The sequence below is a fragment of the Homo sapiens genome, chromosome 20, assembly GCF_000001405.40.
Source record: "Homo sapiens chromosome 20, GRCh38.p14 Primary Assembly".
In the NCBI taxonomy this organism is placed as follows: domain Eukaryota; kingdom Metazoa; phylum Chordata; class Mammalia; order Primates; family Hominidae; genus Homo; species Homo sapiens.
The window spans coordinates 35,767,601-35,794,207 of NC_000020.11; the positions used below are offsets into that span (position 1 = coordinate 35,767,601).

Below are 26,607 nucleotides of genomic sequence, written 5' to 3' on the forward strand. Positions count from 1 at the left end.
CAACTCCTGCCCTCAGGTGATGTGCCGGCCTTGGCCGCCCAAAGTGCTGAGATTACAGGAGTGAGCCACCAAGCCTGGCCCCCCCTCCTTTTTTTTTTTTTTTTGAGACAGAGTCTGGCTCTGTCGCCCAGGCTAGAGTGCAGTGGCATGATGATCTTGGTTCACTGCAACCTCTGCCTCCCGGGTTCAAGCAATTCTCCTGCCTCAGCCTCCCCAGTAGCTGGGATTACAGGCATGTACCACCACGCCCAGCTAATTTTTGTATTTTAGTAGAGATGGGGTTTCACCATTTTGGCCAGGCTGGTCTCGAACTCCTGACTTCAAGTGATTCGCCTGCCTTGGCCTCTCAGAGTGTTAGGATTACAGGCGTGAGCTTCTGTGCCTGGCCTTATCAGCCTTTTTAGTGACTAGGACAAGAATACAAAATGCTTTCCTTTCCTTCCGACTGCTCCCTCCCTCCTTGTAATCATGCAAAATGCAGGAAGTAATTTGGAATTCCTAGTTAATTCTCCTCCCCCTCACTTGGAGAGCAGTGAAGGCCTGGGGAGTTCGGGAACTTTCCGTGGAGCCCAGACTGGAGAGACGTCCGGCCAGGGCCAAGACAACCTGCTTCCCTTGGGCCTCTGGTGCCTTGTTGAGGTCTTGGACCTTTCAGATGCTACTGTGACTGTGGTTTCCGGCTTCCTGAGTTCTCACACTCAGCTTGGTGCTGCAGAGATCACACCCCAGTTCCTGCTTTTGGGGACTGACATGCTCAAGTTTGGTGATACTCAGTACATGGGGTCTGTGAGATCTAGAGGGCTTACTTTTCTGTTTTAGTTTCCCTCTTTTCCCTTAACAGACTCACTGTAAGTGCTTTAGGGTTGCATAAGGATAGAGTATAGAGGTTTGCTGGGTAGACATTGAGAAAGATCAGTTTCCTAATTGAATATTTTATCTCATGTTGGATCTTTAATTCTGCTTCTCTTTAGCTAGGAATATTTTGAATATGCTGAATCTAGTAAAAAAGAAATTAGAAATGAAGTTGTATAGAACTTTGTAGTTCAGTACATTTTCTCACATATTATTGAACTTAAACGTGACAATTCTGCGTTGGTAGATATATATTATCCCATTGAGTAAAAAAAGTGAATATTGAAGAAAAGCAATGCCTACAGAGAGTGACAACTCTTCCATGCAGGTAGATGCTTTTTGTGCTATCCTATACTTTGTATGGATGCACACAGGGTTTCATTGTGGAGCTCTCAGCTTATGGGCTGGGACTACAGTTTTGAAATACAGTATTAGTAAGATGCTGGGGAGGATCTTAAGGCAGAAGGTAGATGTTACTTCTGGTCTAAAGTCAGTGGACTTTAGACCAAAATCTTGTAAACTGGAGCTCTCTGGCTAGCATTCCATTAATATTCAGTTCAGAAGAAGCTGGTAAGTCAAATTTCTGCAAGTTTTTACATCAGAAAGAGCTTAGCTCACAAGGTACTTTTTTCTCATCTGTATTCAGTTATTTTTCCCTGATCAGTGTCAGTCTCCTTCCAACCCTCACTTCCCATCTTGGGGAGTACCCTTAGGGGCAGGTCATTCCTCTCTTCTTTCCCTGGCAGGCTGGACTCATCCATGTGACCTGAGATTGGCCAATCGACAGTGGCTGCTGGCCAAGACCTTGCCTCTTGAGTGAGTGACTCAAAGACAAAGGGATACTAAGATTGAATCACAGCAGTGGTGCGCAGTGTTGCTGGGGGCAGCAGCTGTTGTTGCTCTTTCTTGGTGGAGCTGTCCTTGTGCCTGTTTGTTTTCCAAGCCTGCACTCCTGTTGTAGCTCAGGGGCCCTTGTAACATATTTCTCTTTTGCTTGCCATGATTACTTCACCAGTCTGTGAGCTCCTCGAGAGCAGGGCCTAAGTCTCATTGTGCTCTGAGTGTTTGGTGCCCATCTTGAATTTGACTCTCGGTAAATGCAGGTTGAATAAGTAAAGAAACATGCTATATTTATACGGGGCTACAGAGTCTGGAGTTCTTGGCATTATTGTGGTTGGGGGGCAAAAAGTTCTTTGTGTGCTACCATAGCCACTGACATCTGAGCAATTTCATATTAATAAACATAAACCCAGAGGATCTTGGGAAGGCCCTTCCTATATGTGAGCACTTACTTGACTGAGTGGCACTGATTCTCAAATTGCTGATTTTTTAAAAAGTATGAAATGTATCATGAATTTGCATGCTTATCCTTATGCAGGGGTCATGTGAATCTTTTCTGTATTGTTACAATTTTATTTTATTTTATTATTATTTTTTGAGATGGAATCTTGCTCTATCACCCAGGCTAGAGTGCAGTGGTGCTATCTCGGCTCACTGCAACCTCTGCCTCCAGGGTTCAAGTCATTCTCCTGCCTCAGCCTCTCAAGTAGCTGGGACTACAGGCATGCACCACCACACCTGGCTAATTTTTGCATTTTTAGTAGAGAGAGGGTTTCACCATGTTGGCCAGGCTGGTCTCGAACTCCTCACCTCAGGTAATCTGCCCGTCTTGGCCTCCCAAAGTGCTGGGATTACATGCGTGAGCCACCGCGCCCAGCCATGTTACAATTTTAATAGAATACATGTACTGCCCAAGCAAGTGTAGCTGAAGCTTTTGTCCCTGGTTCCACAGTGTCTCTACCTAAGGGCTGCTCTTTGCCCTGACTACCTCAACTGAGGCAATACCCTCCTTAGTTTCCAGCCCTGGTTTAAAAAGCACCCCTCAGGCTGGATTTGCTGGCTGAGGCCTGTAATTCCAGCATTTCTGGAGGCTGAGGCAGGAGGATCACTTGAGCCAAGGAGTTTGAGACCAGCCTGGTCAACAAAGTGAGACCCTGTCTCTAAAAAAAAAAAAAAAAAAACTCGGCCGGGCACGGTGGCTCACGCTTGTAATCGCAGTATTTTAGGAGGCCGAGGCGCGCGGATCATGAGGTCAGGAGTTCAAGACCAGCCTGGCCAAGATGGTGAAAACCCGTCTCTACTAAAAAAAATATAAAAAATTAGCTGGGCGTGGCGGCGTGCGCCTGTAATCCCAGCTACTTGGGAGGCTGAGGCAAAGAATTGCTTGAACCCGGGAGGCAGAGGTTGCAGTGAGCCAAGATCGCACCACTGCACTCCCGTCTGGGCTACAGAGCGAGACTCTATCTCAAAAAAAAAAAAAAAAAGTGGCCAAGTACGGTGTTAATTCCAGCACTCTGGGAGGCTGAGGTGGGTGGACTGCTTGAGCCCAGGAATTCAAGACCAGCCTGGGCAACATCGTGAAACTGCGTCTCTACAAAAAAATGCAAAAATTAGCCAGGTGCACACCTGTGGTTCCAGCTATCTGGGAGACTGAGGTGGGAGAATTGCTTGGGCCTAGGAGGTGGAGGTTATGAGGAGCCGAGACTGCGCCACTGCACTCCAGCCTGGGTGACACAGTGAGACCGTGTCTCAAAAAAAAAAAAAAATTAGCTAGGCATGGTGGCATGGGCCTGCAGTCCCAGCTACTCAGAAGGTTGAGCTGGGACCACAGGTGCGCACGTTCACGCCTGGCTAATTGTTGTATTTCTTGGAGAGACGGGGGTCTAGCTATGTTGCCCAGGCTGGTCTCGAACTCCTGAGCTCAAGTGATCTACCCACCTCAGCCTCTCATAGTGTTGGGATTACAGGCGTGAGCCACTGCTCCTGGTCTCATATTCTTTTGGGGTGGCTTCAACTCCGACCTTCGTCCCCAGAGAAAATACAGCTCCTTATCCTTAGCAGCAATTGGAAACCTTTCTAGGAGTTAATGATAAAGTGGGGGAGAAATGAGTGCAAAGGCTCTGAGATGAGAAGAACCTGGATTGTTAGCGGAGTTGAAGGACACTGAGAATGTGGGGGAGCTGGATTCGTGAGGATAAGAAAGCAGCAGGTCAGGTCCAGACTTTGAAGAGCCTGGTAGATAGTCTAGGTGAAGAGTTAGATCTTAATCCGGAGTAGGGAGGGAAACGAGCTTTGAGCAGGGGATGGCGTTTTGAAAAGACCTCTCTGCCGGTGTACGAAGAATGGATTAGAACGGCGAAGAGTAATAGGGTGGAAACCATCTTCATCTTGGAGAGAGATGGTGGTCGCTTCGATGGAGAAATGGGAAGCTTTGAGACGCATTTAGGTGGCAAAATTAACGGGTGATGGATAGCGTCCATTCCCCGGCTTCGGTGATCTCAGTGATTACGAGTGAGTGGGGACTTCGTGTTCCTGCTAGGGCGCGGGCCTGTTTCCCGCGCGTCAGGGTAGTGGGCGTGGCCTGCGCAGGCCGTTGCCACAGTGATCGGGCAGACGGGGCAGGGGGCGGGGCAGCTGGGACCTTACGTCACTCGGTGGTGGCGATGATGCGTGTGTGTGGGGGGCGGGGCATACGCTGGGCGCGTCCCGGGGGTCACGTGGTGCAGAGCACGCAGAGTCCTTCTGTCGGTTGGTCCTGGAGCGGCGCAGCCGGAGTGGGGCCGTGAGGTGAGCTCGCGGCCAGGCGAAGCCGGCCGGCCGGGCCGGGTTGGGCCGGGCCCGCGCTGCGCGCGCGCCGTGCGGGCGGGGACGGCGACGGACGCCACCGCTGCTTCGGTCCCCTGCCCGGCCCCGCTCCCCGCCTGGCCCCGCTCGCCCAGCCTGGAGGGAGGCCCTGGGACTGCTGCTGAGAGCGTGGCGGGCGTGCGAGCGGTGCCCAATCCCCGGGGCTACCCGCAAGAGTGGCGGCGGCTGCCGCCAATCAGCGCCGCCCGAGGGGGCTGGGCCGTGGGGTGCGGGCCCGGGGCGCGGAGCGGGCCGTGTTGGGGGTGCGGGTAAGCCCTAGGGCCCGAGCCTGAGCTGTGTGGGCACCTAGAGCCTCATCAGCAGCCTCTGCTATTGCCTTGCGCTTTGGGAATATGTTTTTTAAAATTGGCTTTTTTTATCCTATTCTGGGGAGCACATTCCTTTCTCAAGACCCCAAATATGGGAGTGTCCCTTTTCTCTATAGTTTTGAAAACTGGGCGGCACACCCCCTTTCTTAAGCTCTAGCTCTGGAATTTTATCTAAATTTCTAAAAGCCCTCCCCCCCCCAAATTTAGGGCGTACCCTCTTCCGTCAGCCCCCAAAGTGGGAGCACATTCCTTTTTTCGGGCCTCCAATTTGATTCTGCATTTCCGTTCCAATTTAGAGGTTCACCCTGTTATCGGGTCCTCAGATCTGGGGTCCATTAGCTAAAGTTTTGGGATACTTTCTTGTATCCCCTCTACTCCAAGGAAGAATTCCCCTTTTCCAGGTCCCAAATCTGACAGCATGCCTTCTGGAATTTCTTACATTTAGGGGCCACTTCCTTTCCTCAGCCCTTCAAACCTGAGGTTGGGCCGAAAACAATGTCCAAATTTTGAAGTTTATGGGTACTTATTTCCAGTTTCACAAATAAGGGAATTCACTGCCTTCTCCCGAGACTGTATTATTGGGGTTACACACTTTTCACGTGTTCCCCAAATCAAACTACCTTATTTCCTGAAGGAGACTCATTTTCATATCTGGGAGTATATTTGTTTCTTGTGCCCCCCAAATGTACGAGGTGAACCCCTTTTAGTTATACAACTCTCAGAGTGCAGCCACTTTCCAGATGCTTCTTAAATTTGGGGGGCACACCTTTTTGTGAGTCCTCTCATTTCCAGGTGGCGAGTGGTCTGTGGTTTTGAGCATGCCTTCCTACCCTGTTTAGCTTTTCTGTCATCCAAGACATTTTCATTCCTCAGTTTCCTTCCCTTTTTGGAGCCACACTCCCCTTGAGGTGCTTTCCCCAGTCTGGTCAGTGCACCCATTTCCTCTTCCTCTGGCGAGTGCGTATCTTTGTTCAGCACGGCACTTTTCTCTGTGCTTCTGCGGGCTTTTCTTCTGAGCACACTTCCCAGAGTCACACCTCCTGAATTCTCCTCTCCTCCCAGGGAAGGATTCCTCTCCTAAAGGGCTACCAGCACATTGTTTTTGATAGGCCTATCTTTTATCTTTCCGCTAGCAGGATCTCTTCTCTCTTGGCTTGCCCAATCCCCAAACATTTTTCTGGTTTCTGTCTTTCTTTGGAATTGTTCTGTTTACCTAGTGGCTATAAAGATTTTCCTTGTGCTGGAGGTGGCCTCAAGTCTAGGACTGCCTGGGCCCCCAGCGCTGGATTCAAAGTGGAAACCATTTCTTTGGTTAATCACAGGACTCTGAATCCTCCTGGTGGTTTACTTCTAGAAGACCTAAGATTCTGTTTAGGTGCATACTGTTTTCTCCTTTGCTTTATCTCCTTGTGCTGGAAAACAAAAACAAACAAAACTCTCAGATTTTTCCAGCACTGCTTCTAGCCCATAAACTTCTTCCCTATATTGGCTTTCTTACTATCTTTTATGAAGAAAAGATGTCGTTTGGAGGAATCCCTTGGATACTCTTTTTGTTCTTGTCCCTGGGGTGTCGGTGGGGAAATGGATATTTTTCTCTCCCAATCATCCTCTTGTCAATCTTCTTTTTTTTTTTTTGAGACAGAGTCTCGCTCTGTCGCCCAGGCTGGAGTGCAGTGGCGCGATCTCGGCTCAGTGCAAGCTCCGCCTCCCGGGTTCACGACATTCTCCTGCCTCAGCCTCCCGAGCAGCTGGGACTACAGGCACCCACCACACCGCGCCCGTCTAATTTTTTTGTTTTTAGTAGAGACGGGGTTTCACTGTGGTCTCGATCTCCTGACCTCGTGATCCACCCGCCTCCGCCTCCCAAAGTGCTGGGATTACAGGCGTGAGCCACCAAGCCCGGCCAACCTCTTGTCAATCTTTACCCCCAATCCTCACATTAAAATCTGCAAATATCTGGGACCTCCTATCTCTTAAGAGCCTCAATAGTTCTTTCTTTTGTGTTTCCTTCTGCCTTTACAGATCTTATTCAGGGCTTCTCAGCCTGAACCCCCAACCAGATTAATTTCTCCACAGCTGGAATTCCAAGTGCTTGGGGATAATGATACCTCTGACCTTTCTTCCTTTTGGGAAGTACTTGAGTGTGCAGCTGCATGAGGCCTCAGCAGGAGAGAGATTTTAGGTCCAAGAAGCTATACCAGTAGGACAAGGCAGGAAAATACTACACTTTCAGGATCAAGCCCCTCTGACTCTCATTTGGAAACTGGATGTTTGCTAAGCACCTGCTTCTTAAGGATGCCGAGGGATTTAATGATACTCCCAGAAACCTGGAGAGATTAATGGGGCCTATGGAGAAGTGCTCTGAACTCAGTGTTGGGACTTGAATAAAATTAACCATTGTCATGTTTTCAGAACAACTAAGCTGTTTTATATTTCATGTGCATGAAAGCCCTAGAACTAAGTTGTGTTATTTCCAGAAATGAAATAGATCCCACAGTTAGATGATGTGGCCATTAGGAAGTACCAAATTTATAAAAATCACTGGAGGTCTGTCTGAGCAGTACCTAATAAAATATAGTATACTGAAAGTGAACAGATACTTTGTCTCTTTCTTTGGCTGCTTGATACTTTATCTGTGTACTGCCGTACAGTGCACCCTTAAAGTATTCTACACCAGTGCTTCTCAAACTTGAATGTGCATGTAAGTCACCCAGGGGTCTTGTTGAAATGCTGATTCTGATTTGGTAGATCTAGGATGGGACCTGAATGCATTTCTGATTTGCAGGTGATGCTGATGTTACTGAACTACACTTTTAGTAGTGAGGTTTCATACACGAAGACAAAGTTTCTCTGTGAAAATAGGAAGGTGGTGGTTAGCCTTATATTTTTTTATTTTATCTTTATCCAGACACACATCCCTTAAAAGTTTGTACAAGGCCATAGTCCCCTTTATTAGTTATACTCAATTAGTTATTCTAGCACATAGCTTTTTAAATATTGGCCAAAACTGGCTGGGCACGGTGGCTCATGCTTGTAATCCCAGCACTTTGGGAGCTGAGGCGGGCAGATCACGAGGTCAGGAGTTCGAGACCAGTCTGGCTAACACAGTGAAACCCTGTCTCTACTAAAAATAGAAAAATTACCTGGGTGTGGTGGCAGGCACCTGTAATCCCAGCTACATGGGAGGCTGAGGCAGAATACTTGCTTGAACCCGGGAGGCGGAGGTTGCAGTGAGCCAAAATTGCACCACTGCACTCCAGCCTGGGCCACAGAGTGAGACTCTGTCTCCAAAAAAAAAAAAAAAAAAAAGGCCAAAACTTCTCCAGGAGTTTGGTTTCTGTGTGTATATATATATATTTTGGGTGGGGACAGGGTCTCATTCTGTCACCCAAGCTGGAGTGCAGTGGTGTGATCACGGCTTACTGCAGCCTCAACCTTCTGGGCTCAAGCGATCCTCCCCTCAGCCTCTTGAGTTTCAGGGACCACTGGCACGTGCCACCACACCTGGCTAATTTTAAATTTTTTGTAGAGATGAGATCTTGCCATTTTGCCCAGGTTGGTCTTGAACTTCTGGGCTCAAGCAGTCCTCCACCTTAGCTTCCCAAAGTGTTGGGATTATAGGTGTGAGCTGCCATGCCTGGCTATTGCCAAATTTAAATGGTTACATATTTCTTACTTGAATGTGAACATAATTATTGATATAGAATCATTCTAATAAATACTGCATAGCCAGCTTGTCTGTCTGGTTCCTCATCCTACCATGAGTAGGGAGTCTGTGATACCCCAAATCAGTGGGTCACAGGTGTTGGAATTTCCAAAGAGTCCTTCTTGGTTTTCTGGGTTCTGGAAATGGGCCAGGAAAAGCCAGGATAAAGCTATGTTCCCCGACCTCGAATGGAAGCTTCTGGCTTTCTCTAAATGGGTGCTCCAGAAAGACAAATGCTGGGGAGAAGATGATATTCTTTGATGGTGATCATGCTTTATGATGATCTTTCTCCTTTTGTACCCACATGTCTAATCTATTCTAAGTCTCAAGTGGGTTTTTCCTTTTTTCAAAAAATTTTTTTGGAGACAAAGACTACCTCTGAAAGTGTTTTTCCTTTCTAAGTGTGTTGGATCATCTGTACCTATTTCCCTGGCTGTCACCTGTCTGGCCCTCTTCCACGTGATCCTGTTGCCAGCCCTAATCAGGACAAACCTGAATGACTAGACTATTTTGTGTCCCTGTCCTCCTCCAACCCCTATTCCTCACATGAGTGTCAGATCCTATTCAGTAACGGATTTGATCTGGATTTGGCTCTAGTCCTAGCTCTTCCATTTACTGTGAGACCTCAGGCAAGTCACTTAATGCTATGGGCCTGCTTCTCCCCATTTGTAAAATGAGGGGCTGATGATCTGCAATGTCCACCCTGGCTGAATCTTGGTCGCTACCTTGCTTAGAAACCCCATTGCCTGTGGTAGCTTGTTGCAGCAGATCTGATTTCTTTCATGTGCTCCCTTGGGCAGCCTGCCAGTTATTCCCTTGTCCAAGTCACTTCTGCCATTATCTTTTTTTCTAGCTGAGGCAGCCAGCTTGTTCTCAACCCAACTTCAGCGTTCTTCTTGCTTCCATGTCTTCTTCCAGTTCCATGCTGTATTTCATTCAGAACTACCTGAAATCCTCAAAGAAGTCTTCCTGAGTTCTCCATTCAATGTTTGTGACTTCTCTGCCTTACCAAGAAGGAGTCTGTACCTTATATACCCCGTATTTACTTGTCAGTTCTCTTATCTAATGTATACTTAAAAAGGGACTTCATTTCCTCCATACCACAGCTTTGTTTTTTGGTTTGAATTAGCAGGGCAGGTGGCATGAAATTTAAAGAGGAAGCAAGCAGGTTGTTTGCCTTTGGCTGGGATTTGGGGAAAGTATGAGATGTAATGTTTTTAGTCCCCTTCCCCAAGATCTCCTGTATCTGTGGGAATCAGTTGCCTGGTATGTCTTCCTGGATTGTAAAGGTGCTTAAACTTCCTTTCTGAAGTTTGAAAGTGTATCCTAAGTGCAAATACCATTTGACAATTACTCGTGGTTGGGTGGGTGCAGTGGCTTACGCCTGTAATCCCAACACTTTGGGAGGCCAGAGTGGGAGGATTGCTTGAAGCCAGGAGTTCAAGACCAGCCTGGGCAACAAAGTGAGATTCCTGTCTCTACTCCCCCACCAAAAACAAAAAAGTAGTCAGGCATGGTGGTGCGTGCTTGTAGTCCCAGCTCCTTGGGAGGCTGACGAGGGAGTTCAGAGTCTGCAGTGAGCTAGGATTGTACCACTGCACTACAGCTGGGTGACAGCACGAGACCCCATTGCTTCCAAGTGCTCTTCTAGGAACACACAGCCACAAAACCCAGAACAAGGAATTGTTAAGGATAATGATAAGAAATCTGTATTTCAAATAACTTAACAAATGAATAAAACCAACAGTTCTTTGAGAGCACCTGATTATTGTCAAAGACAGTTGCTGAGGGGGCTTGGAAGTCAGGACTTAAAGGTATATTTAACCTCTGGAGTTTTCTTCTTTCATCATCTTCCTAAGAAATAATAGGGAGGATGTTTACATTTTTCTTGATAAAGTCTTTTTATTAATTTTATTTATTTATTTATTTTGAGAAAGGGTCTTGCTCTGTTGCCTAGGCTGGAGTGTAGTGGCGCAGTCTTGGCTTACTGCAACCTGTGCATCCTGAATTCAAGCGATTCTTGTGCCTCAGCCTCCTGAGTAGCTGGGATTATAGGTGCGCACCACCATGCCCAACTAATTTTTTGTAGTTTTAGTAGAGACAAGGTTTCACTATGTTGGTTAAGCTGGGACATTTTTCTTGATAAACATTCTTTAAACCAAAATGTATGCTTAGTCAAGATCCTTGATTGGATTATGAGCCTAGAGAAAAGGAGGGTGATGTCTTTGTCTAATCCATCTTTGCCAGTGACTGCCCCTTACAGGCTATTGACTATAGGGTAACCTAATGAAAATTGAGACAGGCACTGTGGCTCACGCCTGTAATCCCAGCACTTTGGGAGGCCAAGTCGGATGGATCACCTGAAGTCAGGAGTTCAAGACCAGCCTGGCTAACACACAGTGAAACTCCGTCTCTACTAAAAATACAAAAAATTAGTCAGGCGTGGTGGCAGGTGCCTGTCATCCCAGCTACTAGGGAGGCTGAGGCAGGAGAATGGCTTGAACCCGAGAGGCAGAGGTTGCAGTGAGCCGAGATTACACCACTGCGCTTCAGCCTGGGCAACAAGAGTGAAACTGTGTCTCAAAAAAAAAAAAAAAAAATTGAACCCTTAATTTGTAATAATGCTTTGACAACTTTGCTAGATCTTGGGCTAGGTCCTACCTGGACCTTCCTCTCTTTTGCCAAATAATGGAACTAATGAGCTGGCAGAAATCCTGTACAATTTTAGAAGCCTAATATGAGTGACTAAATGTAAATAGGACAGTTTTAGGAAAGAGTGGTGGAGCCTGAATCAGTGAACTTTGGGGAAGGAGCAAGAGGAGGGGCTTGGGATTTAAACAAAGGGTTTTTTTTTGTTTTGTTTTGTTTTTTGTTTTTTTTTTGAGGTGGAGTCTCACTTCGTTGCCCAGGCTAGAGTACAATGGTGCAATCTCGGCTCACTGCAACCTCTGCCTCCCGGATTCAAGTGATTCTCCTGCTTCAGCCTCCCAAGTAGCTGGTACTACAGGTGTGTGCCACCTCACCCTGCTAATCTTTTATATTTTTGGTAGAGACTGGCTTTCATCATATTGGCCAGGCTGGTCTCGAACTCCTGACCTCATGATCCGCCTGCCAGGGCCTCCCAAAGTGCTAGGTTTACAGGTGTGAGCCACTGCGCCTGGCCTAAACCAAGGTTTTTATTCAGTGATAGTTTATTCCATGTCAGGAACATAATTCTCAGATTTTAAAGGCTGACTTCCAGGTATCTTAGAAGGATATTTGGGGGTCTCTGTCCTAGTAGAGACCTGATTTTCAAGAGGTCTCTTTCTCATATGGAAAAAGTCCATAGCTGGTGGATTGACATTCCTTTCTTTCTTTTTTTTTTTTTGTTGAGGCGGAGTCTCACTCTGTCGCCCAGAAGTGCAGTGGTGCAACCTCGGCACACTGCAACCTCTGTCTCCTGGGTTCAAGCAATTCTCCTGCCTCAGCCTCCTGAGTAGCTGGGATTACAGGTGCCCGCCACCATGCCTGGGTAATTTTTTGTATTTTTAGTAGAGATGGAGTTTCACCATGTTCGCCAGGCTAGTCTTGAACTCCTGACCTCAAGTGATCCACCCGCCTCGGCCTCCCAAACTGCTGGGATTACAGGCGTGAGCCACTGTGCCCGGCCAATGCCTTTCTTGCTTCTACAGGTGCACAGGTGTTGGGATTTCGAGGTTGTGGAAACTTGGTCTGGAAATGTGGGCATTTTACAATAATGATAACTATAGCTAGCATTTTTGGAGCACTGTCTTAAATGTCATTGAATCCTTACATCTGACCTATTATCCTGTCCTAACAGAGGAGGAAACTGAGATGAGTAATTTGTCCAAGGTCATTTGGCTAATAAGCAGGGCCTCGATTGGAGTCCAGGTTTCTTTGCCTCCTGTCCCAGTGCTCTTACATCCCTCTCTCTCTAGCTAACGTGCTTTTTCCCCTAGAAATTTGAGTAAGTCATTTTAACTACAAATCAAACAGGTGGCAGCCTGGAAACCAGCACTGAGGCACTTTGCCACCCTCACCCCAGATTTCTTTTTTTTTTTTTTTTTTTTTTGGGACGGAGTCTCACATTGTTGCCCAGGCTGGAGTGCAGTGGCACAATCTCAGCTCACTGCAAGCTCCGCCTCCCGGGTTTACGCCATTCTCCTGCCTCAGCCTCCTGAGTAGCTGGGACTACAGATGCCCTCCACGATGCCCGGCTAATTTTTTGTATTTTTAGTAGAGACAGGGGTTTCGCCATGTTAGCCAGGATGGTCTCGATCTGCTGACCTCATAATCCATCCGCCTCGGCCTCCCAAAGTGCTAGGATTACAGGCATGAGCCACCATGCCTGGCTCATTCTTTTTTCTTTTTTTTCTTTTCTTTTTTTTTTTTTGAGACAGAGTCTGACTCTGTCTCCCAGGCTGGAAGGCAGTGGCATGATCTTGGCTCACTGCAGCCTCCGCCTCCCGGGTTCAAGTGATTCTCCTGCCTCAGCCTCCTGAGTACCTGGGATTACAGGCGAACACCACCACACCCGGCTAATCTTTTATATTTTTAGTAGAGACGGGGTTTCACCATGTTGCCCAGGCTGGTCTTGAACTCCTGATCTCAGATGATCCACCAGCCTTGGCCTCCCAAAGTGCTGGGATTACAGACATGAGCCACTGGTGCCTGGCCCTTTTTTTTTTTTTTTTTTTTTTGAGATGGAGTTTCACCTTGTAGCCCAGGCTGGAGTGCAATGGCACGATCTTGGCTCACTGCAACCTCCGCCTCCCGAGTTCAAGTGATTCTCTTACCTCAGCCTCCCAAGTAGCTGGGATTACAGGCATGTGCCAACACGCCTGGCTAATTTTCTGTTGTTAGTAGAGATGGAGTTTTACCATGTTGGTCAGTCTGGTCTCGAACCCCTGACCTCAGGTGCTCCACCCACCTCGGCCTAAAGTGCTGGGATTACAGGCGTGAGCAAGATTTTATTCTTTTTTTTTTTTCTGAGATGGATTCTTGCTCTGTCACCCAGGCTGAAGTGCAGTGACACGATCTTGGCTCACTGCAACCTCCTTCTCTGGGGTTCAAGTGATTCTCATGCCTCAGCCTCCTGAGTAGCTGGGATTATAGGCCTGCACCACCACATCCGGCTAATTTTCATATTTTTGATAGAGACGGGTTTCACCGTATTAGCCAGGTTGGTCTCCGCCCGCCTCAGCCTCCCAAAGTGCTGGGATTACAGGCGTGAGCCACTGTGCCTGGCCTTCATTCTTGACCATGCAAAACATCCTTTAATTGTAGAAGCCCAGTTCTCCCAACTCAAGCTGCCTTTCTACATTTTTCTTTCTTCTTCAATTTTTGTTGTTGTTGTTGTCGTGGTCAGATACACATAATATAAAATTTGCCATTTTAACCATTTTTAAGTTATATAGCTTACTGGTATTAAATAATGTTGTGCAACCATCACCACTCTCCATCTCCGTAACTCCTCAAAATTGAAACTCTGGGCCGGGTCCAGTGGCTCATGCCTGTAATCCCAGCACTTCGGGAGGCTGAGGCAGGTAGATCACTTGAGGTCAGGAGTTCGAGGCCAGCCTGGCCATCATGGCAAAACCCCATCTCTACTAAAAATACAAAAATTAGCTGGGCGTGGTAGCACATGCCTGTGATCCCAGCCACTAGGGAGCCTGAAGCAGGAGAACTGTTTGAACGCGGGGGCGGGTGGAGGTTGCACTGAGCCAGGATTGCTGCACTGCACTCCAGCCTAGGTGACAGAGCGAGACTCCATCTCAAAAAAAAAAAAAATTATAACTCTGTACCCATTAAACACTGACTCCCTCTTTCATGAACCTCCTCCCAGCCCCAGCAGCTACCATTCTACTTTCTGTCTCCATGTTTTTGAATACTTTTCTGCCTTTTTTGAGGCTCCTGGGCATGACTGGTTTGGGTTGCTTGACTGTCCCTTGGTTCCATGGAGTATTGAATTCTGTGTAATGTGCTTTGATGAGTAGGAAATTGGTCGTGCTGTGACCTATATGATAATTAGACATGTGCAACTTGTAAAGGCAAGGTAATTAAAGAGGCCACTTTTCTTTTTCTTGTTTTGTTTTTTTTTTCTTTTTTTCTTTTTTTTTTCTTCTCTTTTTGAGACATTCTCACTCTGTTCTCCAGGCTGGAATGCAGTGACATCATCTCAGAGCTGACTGCAACCTCTGCCTCCTGGATTCAAGCAATTCTCCTGCCTCAGCCTCCCGAGTAGCTAGGATTACAGGCGGATGCCACCATGCCCGGCTAATTTTTGTATTTTTGGAAGAGATGGGTTTTCACCATATTCGCCAAGCTAGTCTTGAACTCCTGACCTCAAGTGATCCACTCTCCTCGGCCTCCCAAAGTGCTAGGATTACAGGCCACTGTGCCTGGCCAAGAGGTCACTTTTCATGTCCAGGCTGCATGGTATGTGGTGGTGAGGATGTAGGATTTGGAGGTGGAATGCCTGAGTTTGAGTGCCTGTATTTGCCACTCTCTTGGGGCCAAATGTAATTTGGGCATATGGCTTAAACCTCTTGAACCTTTCATTGTGTTATGCACATTGGAGGCAGAACTTTCCAGCCTAGCAAGTTACTTAACCTATATGAGCCTGTTTCCTCACCCAAGTATTATCATAACTGTCTGACATCAGTCATTGGAAATATCAGTAAATGTTACCCTTTCCCTCCATTTCCTAATCTGTAAAGGAAATTAAAGAAACCTGGTTTGGCTGGGCACAGTGGCTCATGCCTGTAATCCCAGCACTCTGGGAGGCCAAGGCAGGAGGACTGCTTGAAGCCAGGAGTTTGAGACCAGTCCTGGCCACAGAGTGAAACCTCATCTCTATAACACAGAAAAAAAAAAAATTAGTTTGGCATGGTGGTGCACGCCTTGTAGTCCCAGCTCCTTGGGAAGCTGAGGTGGAAGGATTGCTTGAACCCAGGAGTTCAAGGCTGCAGTGAGCTATGATCCTGCCACTGTACTCCAGTGTGGGTGACAGTGAGAGCCTGTGTTTAAAAATAAAAAAAAGAAAAGAAAAAGAAAACATAGTTTATAGAGTTTTCCTGGCTTGAAGATTTATGAGGAGTTGAGTATATGTTACCATTATTACTTTTGTTTTATTCCTCTCAGAAAATGTGTGTAAAATTCCTCCATGGGCCCTTCAGTGGGCCTTGTTAGTTTGTATTTCATCCATAACTTTATCAGTAGTGTATGCCAAAGAAAAAGACTCTTACTTTTTTTTTTTCTTTATGATGGACTCTCACTCTGTTGCTCAGGTTGGAGTGCAGTGGCACAATCACAGCTGTCTTGCAGCTTCAACCTCCTGGGTTCAAGGGATCCTCCTGCCTCATCCTCGTGAGTAGTTGGGACTACAGGTGTATGCCACCGCGCTTGGCTAATTTTTTTTTTTTTTTTATTATTTATAGAGACGAGGTCTTGCTATGTTGCCTAGGCTGATCTCAAACTCTTGGGCTCAAGTGATTCTCCTGCCTCGGCCTTCCAAAGTACTGGGATTGGCCGGGCATGGTGCCTCACTCCTGTAATCCCAGCATTTTGGGAGGCCGAGGTGGGCGGATCACCTGAGGTCAGGAGTTCGAGACCAGCTTGACCAACATGGAGAAACCCCATCTCTACTAAAAATACAAAAAATTAGCCGGGCATGGTGGCACATGCCTGTAATCTCAGCTACTCTTGGGAGGCTGAGGCAGGAGAATCGCTTGAACCCAGGAGGCGGAGGTTGTGGTGAGCCGAGATCGTGCCATTGCACTCTAGCCTGGGCAACAAGAGTGAAACTCCGTCTTAAAACAAAACCAAACCAAAGTACTGGGATTATAGGCATGAGCCACTGTCCCGCCCTTACGTTTGTTTGTGTGTTTTTTTTTTTTTTGAGACAGTGTATCGCTCTGTCCCCCAGGCTGGAGTGCAGTGGCACAATCTCGGTTCACTGCAACCTCCACCTCCAGGGTTCAAGCGATTCTCCTGCCTTAACCTCCCGACTAGCTGTGACTACAGGTGCCTGCCACCACGCCCGGCTAATTTTTGTATTTTTAGTAGAGATGGGGTTTCACCATATTAGCCAGGCTGGTCTTGAACTCCTGACCTTGTGATCTGCCTGCCTCGGCCTCCCAAAATGCTGGGATTACAGGCGTGAGCCACTGCACCCGGCCACATTTTTTTTCCCCTCATTTTCACACACACAAAACTAACAGTAATCCCTTAATATTTTTAATGTTGAAATATCCCAAAGACTTTTTTTTTTTTTTTTTTTTTGAGATGGAGTCTCACTGTGTCTCCCAGGCTGGAGTGTGGTGGCATGATCTCTGCTTACTGCAACCTCTGCCTTCCGGGCTCAAGAGATTCTCCTGCCTCAGCCTGCCAAGTAGCTGGGAATACAGGCGTGTGCCACTATGCCCAGCTAATTTTTATGTTGTTAACAGAGATGGAGTTTCACCATGTTGGCCAGGCTGGTCTTGAACTCCTGACCTCAGGTGATCTGCCCACCTCAGCATCCCAAAGTATTGGGATTACAGGCATGAGCCACTGCACTCAGTCCCTTGTTTTTAAAAGCAATAAAGGTTAGTGGGGGCCGGGTGCGGTGGCTCACACCTGTAATTCCAGCACTTTGGGAAGCTTAGGTGGGCAGATCACTTGAGCTGAGGAGTTCGAGACTAGCCTCGGCAATGTGGCAAAACCCCGCCTCTATAAAAAATACAAAAATGAGGAAGGGGTGGTGGCACGTGCCTGTAGTCCCAGCACTGGGGGAGCTGAGGTGGGGAGGATGGTTTGAGCCTGGGAGGCAAAGGTTGCAGTGAGCCAGGATCATGCCGCTTCACTCCAACCTGGGCCACAGAAACAGACCCTGTCTTAAAAAAAAAAAAAGAGGGTAGTGGGTTTTGGAGGAAGGAGGTCTTGCTTCTGAAGTCCCAGCTCTTCTATCTAGCCAGGTGACTTTGGGCAAGTTGTTTATTGTTTATACTCCTTCGTAAAATACTGCTGACTTCTCTGCATTGTTGGGAATGAGATGTTTGTCAAGGATTTAGCATGTGGTGATAAATCAGTAAATGTTGAATATTTCCTGGTATTAATAATAAAGGCTAGGAATAAAAATTCATACTTAAAGGAAAATGGACTTTTATTTATTTATTTATTTTTGAGACAGAGTTTTGCTCTTGTCACCCAGGCTGGAGTGCAGTGGCACAATCTTGGCTCACTGCAACCTCTGCCTCCTGGGTTCAAGCGATTCTCCTGCCTTAGCCTCCCGAGTAGGTGGTGCTACGGGCTCCTACCACCATGCCGGGCTAATTTTTATATTTTTAGTAGAGATGGGGTTTCACCACGTTGGCCAGGCTGGTCTCGAACTCCTGACCTCAGGTGATCCTCCCGCCTCAGCCTCCCAATGTGCTGGGATTACTGGTGTGAGCCACCACACCCTGCCAAGATAAGGGAATTAATGAATTGTCTCATAAATATCTTAGGTATTTAAAACTCCATAGGCATGAAAATGTCTCTCAAGGCCCTGTTGAGTAATGATTTCATCTCCAAATTGTTTTCCTTTGTAATATGGTGATATTTCAATTAAGAAATTCTGTAAGAATAGGCCGGGTGTGGTGGCTCACGCTTGTAATCCCAGCACTTTGGGAGGCTGAGACCAGCCTGGCCAACACAGTGAAATCCCGTCTCTACTAAAAATACAAAAAATTAGCTGGGCATGGTTGCAGGTGCCTGTCATCTCAGCTACTTGGGAGGCTGAGGCAGGAGAATCGCTTGAACCCGGGAGGCGGAGGTTGCAGTGAGCTGAGATTGCACCACTGCACCCCAGCCTGGGCGACAGAGCGCAACTCCATCTCAAAAAAAAAAAAAACAAAAAAAAAAACAAATCTTGTAAGGATAGCTGGTCAGGTGTGTTTAAAAAAAGACTTCCCAGCTGGGCGTGGTGGCTCACGCCTGTAATCCCAGCACTTTGGGAGGCCGAGGCAGGTGGATCACGAGGTCAGGAGATCGAGACCATCCTGGTCAACATGGTAAAACCCCGTCTCTACTAAAAATACAAAAAAAAATTAGTTGGGTGTGGTGGCGTGTGCCTGTAATCGCAGCTACTCAGGAGGCTGAGGCAGGAGAATCGCTTGAACTAGAGAGTTGGAGGTTCCAGTGAGCCGAGATCGCGCCACTGCATTCCAGCCTGGTGACACAGCGCGACTCCGTCTCAATAAATAAATAAATAAATAAGACTTCCCCTAGGCTGTGAGCAGTGGCTCATGCCTGTCATCCCAGCAGTTTGGGAGGCCGAGGCGGGTGGATCACAAGGCCAGGAGATCGAGACTATGCTGGCCAACATGGTGAAACCCTGTCTCTACTAAAATACAAAAAATTAGCCCAGTTTGGTGGTGCACGCCTGTAGTTTCAACTACTTGGGAGGCTGAGGCAGGAGAATCACTTGAACCAAGGAGGTGGAGGTTGCAGTGAGCCGAGATTGAGCCACTGCACTCTAGCTTGGCGACAGAGCTTGACTCCGTCTCAAAACTCACTCCAGAGCTATAGACTATATCACTCAGAGAGTGTAGAGTATTGATAGATTGGAGCCCCCAGTGCCTGAAGAAATGGATACAGCTTTTCTTAAGCCCCAGGGATAAAACTGTGATCAGTCTTCAGTTGCTTCATTCCGCATGCTTTGCCTTCCTCTGCACGCAAGGAGTAATAATAGTTCCCACGTTTACCTGTGGATAACACTCTTCAAAGAACCTCCATGTGATTATCTTCTTGAATCTATATACCCATTGAGGTGGATGATATTGATCTCTTTCCTGTTTTTTTTTTTTTTTTTTGGAGACAGGGTCTCTTGCTCTGTTGCCCAAGCTGGAGTACGGTGGTGCAATCATAGTTCACTGCAGCCTTGAACCCCTGGGCTCAAGTGATTCTCCAGCCTCAGCCTCCTGAGTAGCTAGGACGACAGGTGTGTGTCACTGTGCCTGGCTAATTATTTATTTATTTATTTATTTATTTATTTATTTATTTCAGACAGAGTTTCACTCTTGTTGCCCAGGCTGCAGTGCAATGATGTGATCTCGGCTCACTGCAACCTCTGCCTCCCAGGTTCAAGCGATTCTCCTGCCTCAGCCTCTTGAGTAGCTGGGATTACAGGGATGCACCACCATGCCCAGTTAATTTTGTATTTTTAGTCTAGACGAGGTTTCACCATGTTGGTCAGGCTGGTCTCTAACTCCCGATCTCAGGTGATCTGCCCGCCTCCACCTCTCAAAGTGCTGGGATTACAGGCGTGAGCCACCGCGCCCAGCCTATTTTTTTATTTTTATTTTTACTTTTTGAGACAGAGTTTCGCTCTGTCTCCCTGGCTGGAGTGCAGTGGCACAATCTCTGCTCACTGCAATCTCCGCCTCCTGGGTTCAAGCGATTCTCCTGCCTCAGCCTCCCAAGTAGCTGGGATTACAGGGAAGCACCACCATGCCAGTTAATTTTGTATTTTTAGTCTAGACGAGGTTTCACCATGTTGGTCAGGCTGGTCTCGCTCTGTGCCCACCTCTGCCTCTCAAAGTGCTGGGATTACAGGCATGAGCCACCGCGCCCAGCCTATTTTTTTATTTTTATTTTTACTTTTTGAGACAGAGTTTCGCTCTGTCTCCCTGGCTGGAATGCAGTGGCGCAATCTTTGCTCACTGCAACCTCCGCCTGGGTTCAAGTGATTCTCCTGCCTCAGCCTCCCTGGTAGCTGGGATTACAGGCCCTTGGCACCACACCCGGCTAATTTCTGTGTTTTTAGTAGAGTCAGGGTTTCACCATTTTGGCCAGGCTGGTCTTGAACTCCTGGCCTTAAGTGATCCACCTGCCTTGGCCTCCCAAAGTGCTGGGATTACAGGTGTGAGCTACCTAGCGCAGCTCTATATTTTTATTTATTTGTTTATTTATTTATTTTTTGAGACGGAGTCTTGCTCTGTTGCCCAGGCTGGAGTGCAGTGGCGCGATCTCGGCTCACTGCAAGCTCCGCCTCCCAGGTTCATGCCATTCTCCTGCCTCAGCCTCCTGAGTAGCTGGGACTACAGGCGCCCGCCACCACGCCCGGCTAATTTTTTGTGTTTTTAGTAGAGACAGGGTTTCCTCATGTTAGCCAGGATGGTCTCGATCTCCTAACCTCGTGATCCACCCTCCTCGGCCTCCCAAAGTGCTGGGATTACAGGTGTGAGCCACTGTGCCTGGCCTATTTTTTTTATTTTTTGTAGAGTTGAGATCTCACTATGTTGCCCAGGCTGGCTTCAAACTCCTGGCCTCACTCAAGTGATCCTCTCACCTTGGCCTTCCAAAGTACTGGGATTACAGGTGTGAGCAATTGCACCTGGCCTCTTTTCTGTTTTTATTTCCATTTTGCCAGTGAGAAGGCTGAGGTTACCTCTTTTTTTTTGAGACGTAGTCTCGCTCTGTTGCCCAGGCTGGAGTGCAATGGCATGATCTCTGCTCACTGCAACCTCCACCTCCCATGTTCAAGCGTTTCTCCTGCCTCAGCCTCCTGAGTAGCTGGGATTACCGGTGTACACCACCACGCCTGGCTAATTTTTGTATTTTTACTAGAGATGGGGTTTTGCCATTTTAGCCAGGGTGTTCTTGAACTGACGTCAGGCGATCCACCCACCTTGGCCTCCCAAAGTGCTGGGATTACTGGCGTGAGCCACCACGCCTGGCCAGGTTATATCATTTAACAAACATTTGACCACCATGTTAAGGGCACTGCTTGTTAGATGCTGGGGATGCCTATGAGGAGTTAATTGCCTCTTGGGAGAGATCTGCTTAGATAGGCAGTTTCAGCATAGAGTGATGAATGCTGTGGCCCAGAGGGTAGGTTAGGTTGCCATGGGAGAATGCAGGTGTGAAGGAAGTCCTTCAGGGAGGTTCCAATGGCTAATCCTGGTCATGAAGGACCAGGAAGAGAAAGCAGCTTGTTTGGCCAGGTGCAGTGGCTTATGCCTTTAACCCCAGCACTTTGGGAGGCTTAGTGAGGGAGGGGGCAGATCACCTGGTCAGGAGTTCGAGACCACCCTGGCCAACATGGTGAAACTAGAGACTAGCCCGTCTCTAGTAAAAATACAAAAATTAGCCTGGCATGGTGGCTTGCTCCTGTAATTCCAGCTACTTGGGAGGCTGAGGCAGGAGAGTCGCTTGAATCTGGGAGACAGAGGTTGCAGTGAGCCAAGATTGTGCCATTGCACTCCAGCCTGGGTGACAGTGCAAGACTCCATCAAAAAAAAAAAAAAAACAAAAGCAGCTTGTTTATACAAAGGCCCTGGAGGTCGGAACTGCAGGGTGTTTGGATGTGGCAGGAGTATGGGTGGTAAGAACAGTAATAACCCTTTTTTCTTTTTCTTTTTCTTTTTTTGTGACGCAGTCTTGCTCTGTCTTCCAGGCTGGAGTGCAGTGGCGGGATCTCGGCTCACTGTAACCTCCACCTGCCGGGTTCAAGCAATTCTCCTGCCTTAGCCTCCTGAGTAGCTAGGACTACAGGCGTGCACCACCATGCCTGGCTAATTTTTTATATTTTTAGTGGAGACAGGGTTTCACCATGTCGGCTAGGCTGGTCTCGAACTCCTGACCTCATGATCCGCCTGCCTGTGCCCCACAAAGTGGTGGGATTGCAGGCGTGAGCCATGGCGCCCAGCCCCCGCCCCCCCCCCCCCCTTTTTTTTTATACACAGTTTTACTCTTGTTCCCCAGTCCGGAGTGCAGTGGCTCGATCTCAGCTCACTGCAACCTCCGCCTCCCGGGTTCAGGCAATTCTCCTGCCTCAGCCTCCTGAGTAGCTGGGATTACAGGCGTCTGCCACCATCCCCAGCTGATTTTTTTTTGTGTTTAGTAGAGATGGGTTTTCACCACATTGGCCAGGCTGGTCTTGAATTTCTGATCTCAGGTGATCCGCCCGCCTCTGCCTCCTAAAATGCTAGAATTACATGCATGAGCCACCATGCCCAGCAAGAACAGTAGTAACCCTGCAAGCTTATTGTGTGCCAGGCTCTGCTAAATAACTTTTTTTTTTTTGACGGAGTCTCGCTCTGTCATCCCGGCTGGAGTGCAATGGTGTGATCCCGGCTCACTGCAACCTCTGCCTTTTGGGTTCAAGCGATTCTCCTTCCTCAGCCTCCCCTGTAGGTGGGATTACAGGCGCATGCCACCACGCCTGGCTAATTCTTGTGTTTTTAGTAGAGGCGGGATTTCACCATGTTGACAAGGCTGGTCTCAAACTCCTGACCTCAGGTGATCCGCCTGCCTCAGCCTCCCAAAGTGCTGGGATTACAGGTGTGAGCCACCGGGCCTGACCTGTGCTAATAACTTTTATCTTCACAACACCTATATGATGGTTTGAAGTAGGTGCTGGTGATATCCTCATTTTACAGATGGGGAGCCTGAAGCTCAGAGAGGAAATGACTTGTGCAAGTTTATCTGGAAAGTGGTGGGGCTGAGGTCCAAACTCAGGCACTCTTATTCCAGAGTTCTGGCTCATAACCGCTGTGTCCCACAGCCCCTCTGCTAAAGCTTGCCTGCTTCTCTCCTTTTAAGCTCCAAAAGAGAGTTTCTTTTGGCTTGGTTATAATGGCTAACTCACTAATGGCCCAAATGCTGCGCTGAGTACCTTGAATATGGTTCTGTAGGGGAGCCGCTGAACTGTTTTTTTTGTTTGTTTGTTTTTGTTTTTTGAGACAGAGCCTTGCTCTGTTGCCCAGGCTGGACTGCAGTGGCGCGATCTTGGCTCACTGCAACCTCCACCTCCTGGGTTCGAGCGATTCTCCTGTCTCAGCCTCCTGAGTAGCTGGAATTACAGGCGTGTGCCACCATGCCCGGCTAATTTTTGTATTTTTAGTAGAGGCGAGGTTTCACCATGTTGGCCAGGCTGGTCTTGAACTCCTGACCTTGTGATCCACCTGCCTCAGCCTCCCAAAGTGTTGGGATTACAGGCGTGAGCCACCGCGTCCGGCCTGAACTGTTTTAAAATAGAAGTCTTATGATCATACTTACATTTTAGAAATATCACTGTAGCAGCAGTGATGAAGATTGGCAACAGTGTAATTAACTGGAGTCAGCCTTACCTCGGTTCAATTCCTTGTCCCAATACCTGACTAGCCTTGGTATTTGGGAAACTTACTTTGTGAACCTCAGTTTTCACATCCATAAAATGGGAATAATCCTCATTACAAACCTAAGAGGTAGACACTAAATGGGCTGATATAGTTTTTATATATATGTATATATATACCAGAATAGTATCTATCTATCTATCTATCTATCTATCTATCTATCTATCTATCTATCTATCTATCTATCTTAGAATAGTATATACATATATATCTTAGAATAGTGTATATATATATATATATATATATATCTTAGAATTGTGTGTATATATGTATCTTAGAATAGTATTTGTCATAAAATAACCACTGAGAAGATGTCATCTCATGAGACAGTATTGATTTGGATCTGGGGAAGGTATAGCTGGAGGATTGGAGCTCTGTCAAGAGCTGCTGGAGTAATCAAGATTAGAACTGATGCAGGGCTGAACTGGGCATCCACTTGGCAATGGCTGAGACTTAGAAGCAGGTCCTACAAAATGTTGTCCGAGTGTGGGAGGTGAGGGAAGGAGAAGGAGGTAAGGGAAGTGCCCATGTTTCTAGTTTGGCACACTTGCCAATCTTGAGGGCTTATTTGATGGGGACAAAAGGAGAAGGAACTTGTAAGGGTAAGATGATTAGCTCAGTGAAATTGAGTAATATGCGAAAGGTCATACAGCAGATACATTTTAGGGCCAACCCTGGCACAGGCCCTTTCCACTGCTTCTGGGAAAATCCACTGATTTAATCGACTCATTCTCAGTAGTTTGGAATGAGTAAACTCAACTCATGTTTGCTGTCTCTTTGCATTTTAATTATGGAAGGCAAAGCTTGACTCTTGCAGAAAGCATTTCAAGTATCTGGGAAGAAAGTGGGTGAAGTTTTGAGGCCTATTTCTTTCTTCACTCTTCTTTTTTTTACGACAGAGTCTTGCTCTGTCGCCAGGCTGGAGTGCAGTGGCTCGATCTTGGCTCATTGCAACCTCCACCTTCTGGGCTCAAGCAATTCTCCTGCCTCAGCCTCTTGAGTAACTGGGATTACAGGCACCTGCCACCACGCCCGGCTAATTTTTTGTATTTTTAGTAGAGACGGGGTTTCACCATGTTGGCCAGGCTGGTCTCAAACTACTGAACTCTGGTGATCCGCCCTCCTCGACCTCCCAAAGTGTTGGGATTACAGGCGTGAGCCACCGTGCCTGGCTTCTTCCCTCTTTTCATTCTTGCCTGCCCTTCCTTCCTTCCTTTCTTTTTCTTCCTCCTTACCTCTTCTGCCTTTCCTCCCTCCTTCCCTACCTTGTCAAGTAAAAGGGACTAATTCCCTTTCTTCTAGTGTGACCTGGGAAGAGGTCCTACTTGAACCAATTTGTCACTTCCCTACGACTAAAGATACGCTCTTTATGCACTTTAGTATATTGGATACTGTTTGTTAATTTTTAATAATATTGACTATAATTCTTTGTGTCTGATGTCCTTTTTGCTAGTATACCACCATTGCCATCACCAGTACCATTTAGAGTTTGCTATGCTAAGCACTTGACATCCATTAGCTCACTTATTCTTCACAACAACCCTAGGAAATTGGGGCTGTTGATCCCATCTTATAGCTGGGCAAACAGGCTCAGTGATTTTTCTTGTCGTCGCTCAGCCAACAATGCCTGGAGCCAGAATTGGTTAGAATCTGAGTCTAAAACCTGTCTGTGCACCCATCCCTAGGCATTCCCTGGCCTTCCTCCACGGCAGAACTTTGGCAAAAGGTCCTCTTGGAGGCTTCTTCCTGGGAGACCCAGGTATCACTGGACCGGCTAAAATTGTTTATGCTTTCTTGGGACAGCAGCATGGGCTGTGGGAAGTCTCAACCTTCTAGGTTCAAGCTGTGTGTGGGGAAAGCTCCTTTCTGCCGGAGATTCTTTGCCTGTAGTAGTTGCCTTTGCTTAGAAGTCACTTCCTTTAGATCTCCTTCTTGTCACCTAGTTCTCTGCTTAGACCTCAGTTCCTCAGAGAGTCCTTTCTTTTTCTTTTTTTTTTTTTTTGAGACAAGAGTCTCGCTCTGTCACCCAGGCTGGAGTGCAGTGGCATGATCTTGGCTCACTGCAACCTCCACCTCCTGGGTTCAAGCAATTCTCCTGCCTCAGCCTCCCAAGTAGGTGGGACTACAGGTGCCCACCACTAAGCCTGGCTAATTTTTGTATTTTTAGTAGAGACGGGGTTTCACCATATTGGCCAGGCTGGTCTCGAACTCCTGACCTCAGGTGATCCACCTGCCTCGGCCTCCCAAAGTGCTGGGATTACAGGCGTGAGCCATTGTGCCTGTCTTGAGAGTCCTTTCTAACAGCCGTATCTAAAATAGTCCTTTCCATGTCGCTGGTTCACATTATTTTGTTGTTTTTCCCACAATTACTTATCTCTGTCAGAAATGATCTTTATATGCTCGCATGGCGCAGTGGCTCATGCCTGTAATCGCAGCACTTTGGGAGGCTGAGGTTGGTGGATCACTGGAGGTCAGGAGTTCGAGACCAGCCTGGCCAACATGGCGAAACACTGTCTCTACTAAAAATACAAAAATTAGCCAGGCATGGTGGTGCACGCCTGTAATCCCAGCTACTGGGGAGGGTGAGGCAGGAGATGCTTGAACCTGGGAGGCGGAGGTTGCAGAGAGCCGAGATTGCACCTTGCACGCTGGGCTGGGCGACAAGAGCGGGACTCTGTCTCAAAAAAAAAAAAAAAAAAAAAAGGCCAGGCGCGGTGGCTCACACCTGTAATCCCCAGCACTTTGGGAGGCTGAGGTGGGTGGATCGCCTGAGGTCAGGAGTTCGAGACCAGCCTGACCAATATGGAGAAACCCCTTCTCTGCTAAAAATACAAAAATTAGCCAGGCGTGGTGGCACATACCTGTAATCCTAGCTACCAGGAGGCTGAAGCAG

At 47.5% G+C, this 26,607-nt stretch overlaps 1 protein-coding gene and 1 pseudogene across 5 annotated transcripts in view, besides 2 other annotated features; one reads left to right on the top strand and one right to left on the bottom strand.

The window, feature by feature from the left end:
* Positions 1–2,184: 2,184 nt before the first annotated feature.
* Positions 2,185–2,273, bottom strand: LOC124904972 (uncharacterized; annotated as a pseudogene).
* PHF20 (PHD finger protein 20) overlaps positions 4,415–26,607 on the top strand; it is a 178,356-nt gene continuing 156,163 nt past the window's right edge. For 3 of the 5 annotated variants that reach the window (XM_047440180.1, NM_016436.5, XM_017027868.3), the window contains exon 1: positions 4,415–4,479. The gene's annotated coding sequence lies outside the window, so the exon portion shown is untranslated. Of the gene's footprint in view, positions 4,480–14,705; positions 15,010–26,607 lie in introns of those variants that run through there. The other 2 variants (XM_047440181.1, XM_047440182.1) reach the window with 2 other exon arrangements.
* Positions 4,483–4,862: a silencer, noted in NCBI's record as "silent region_12864". NCBI's record gives its function as "represses an Ori minimal core promoter by ATAC-STARR-seq in GM12878 lymphoblastoid cells {active_cell/tissue: GM12878}" and the evidence as "EXISTENCE:reporter gene assay evidence [ECO:0000049][PMID:35858748]".
* Positions 5,867–6,161: a silencer, noted in NCBI's record as "tiled region #2555; K562 Repressive non-DNase unmatched - State 1:Tss". NCBI's record gives its function as "represses a minimal TATA promoter and a strong SV40 promoter by Sharpr-MPRA in K562 cells {active_cell/tissue: K562}" and the evidence as "EXISTENCE:reporter gene assay evidence [ECO:0000049][PMID:27701403]".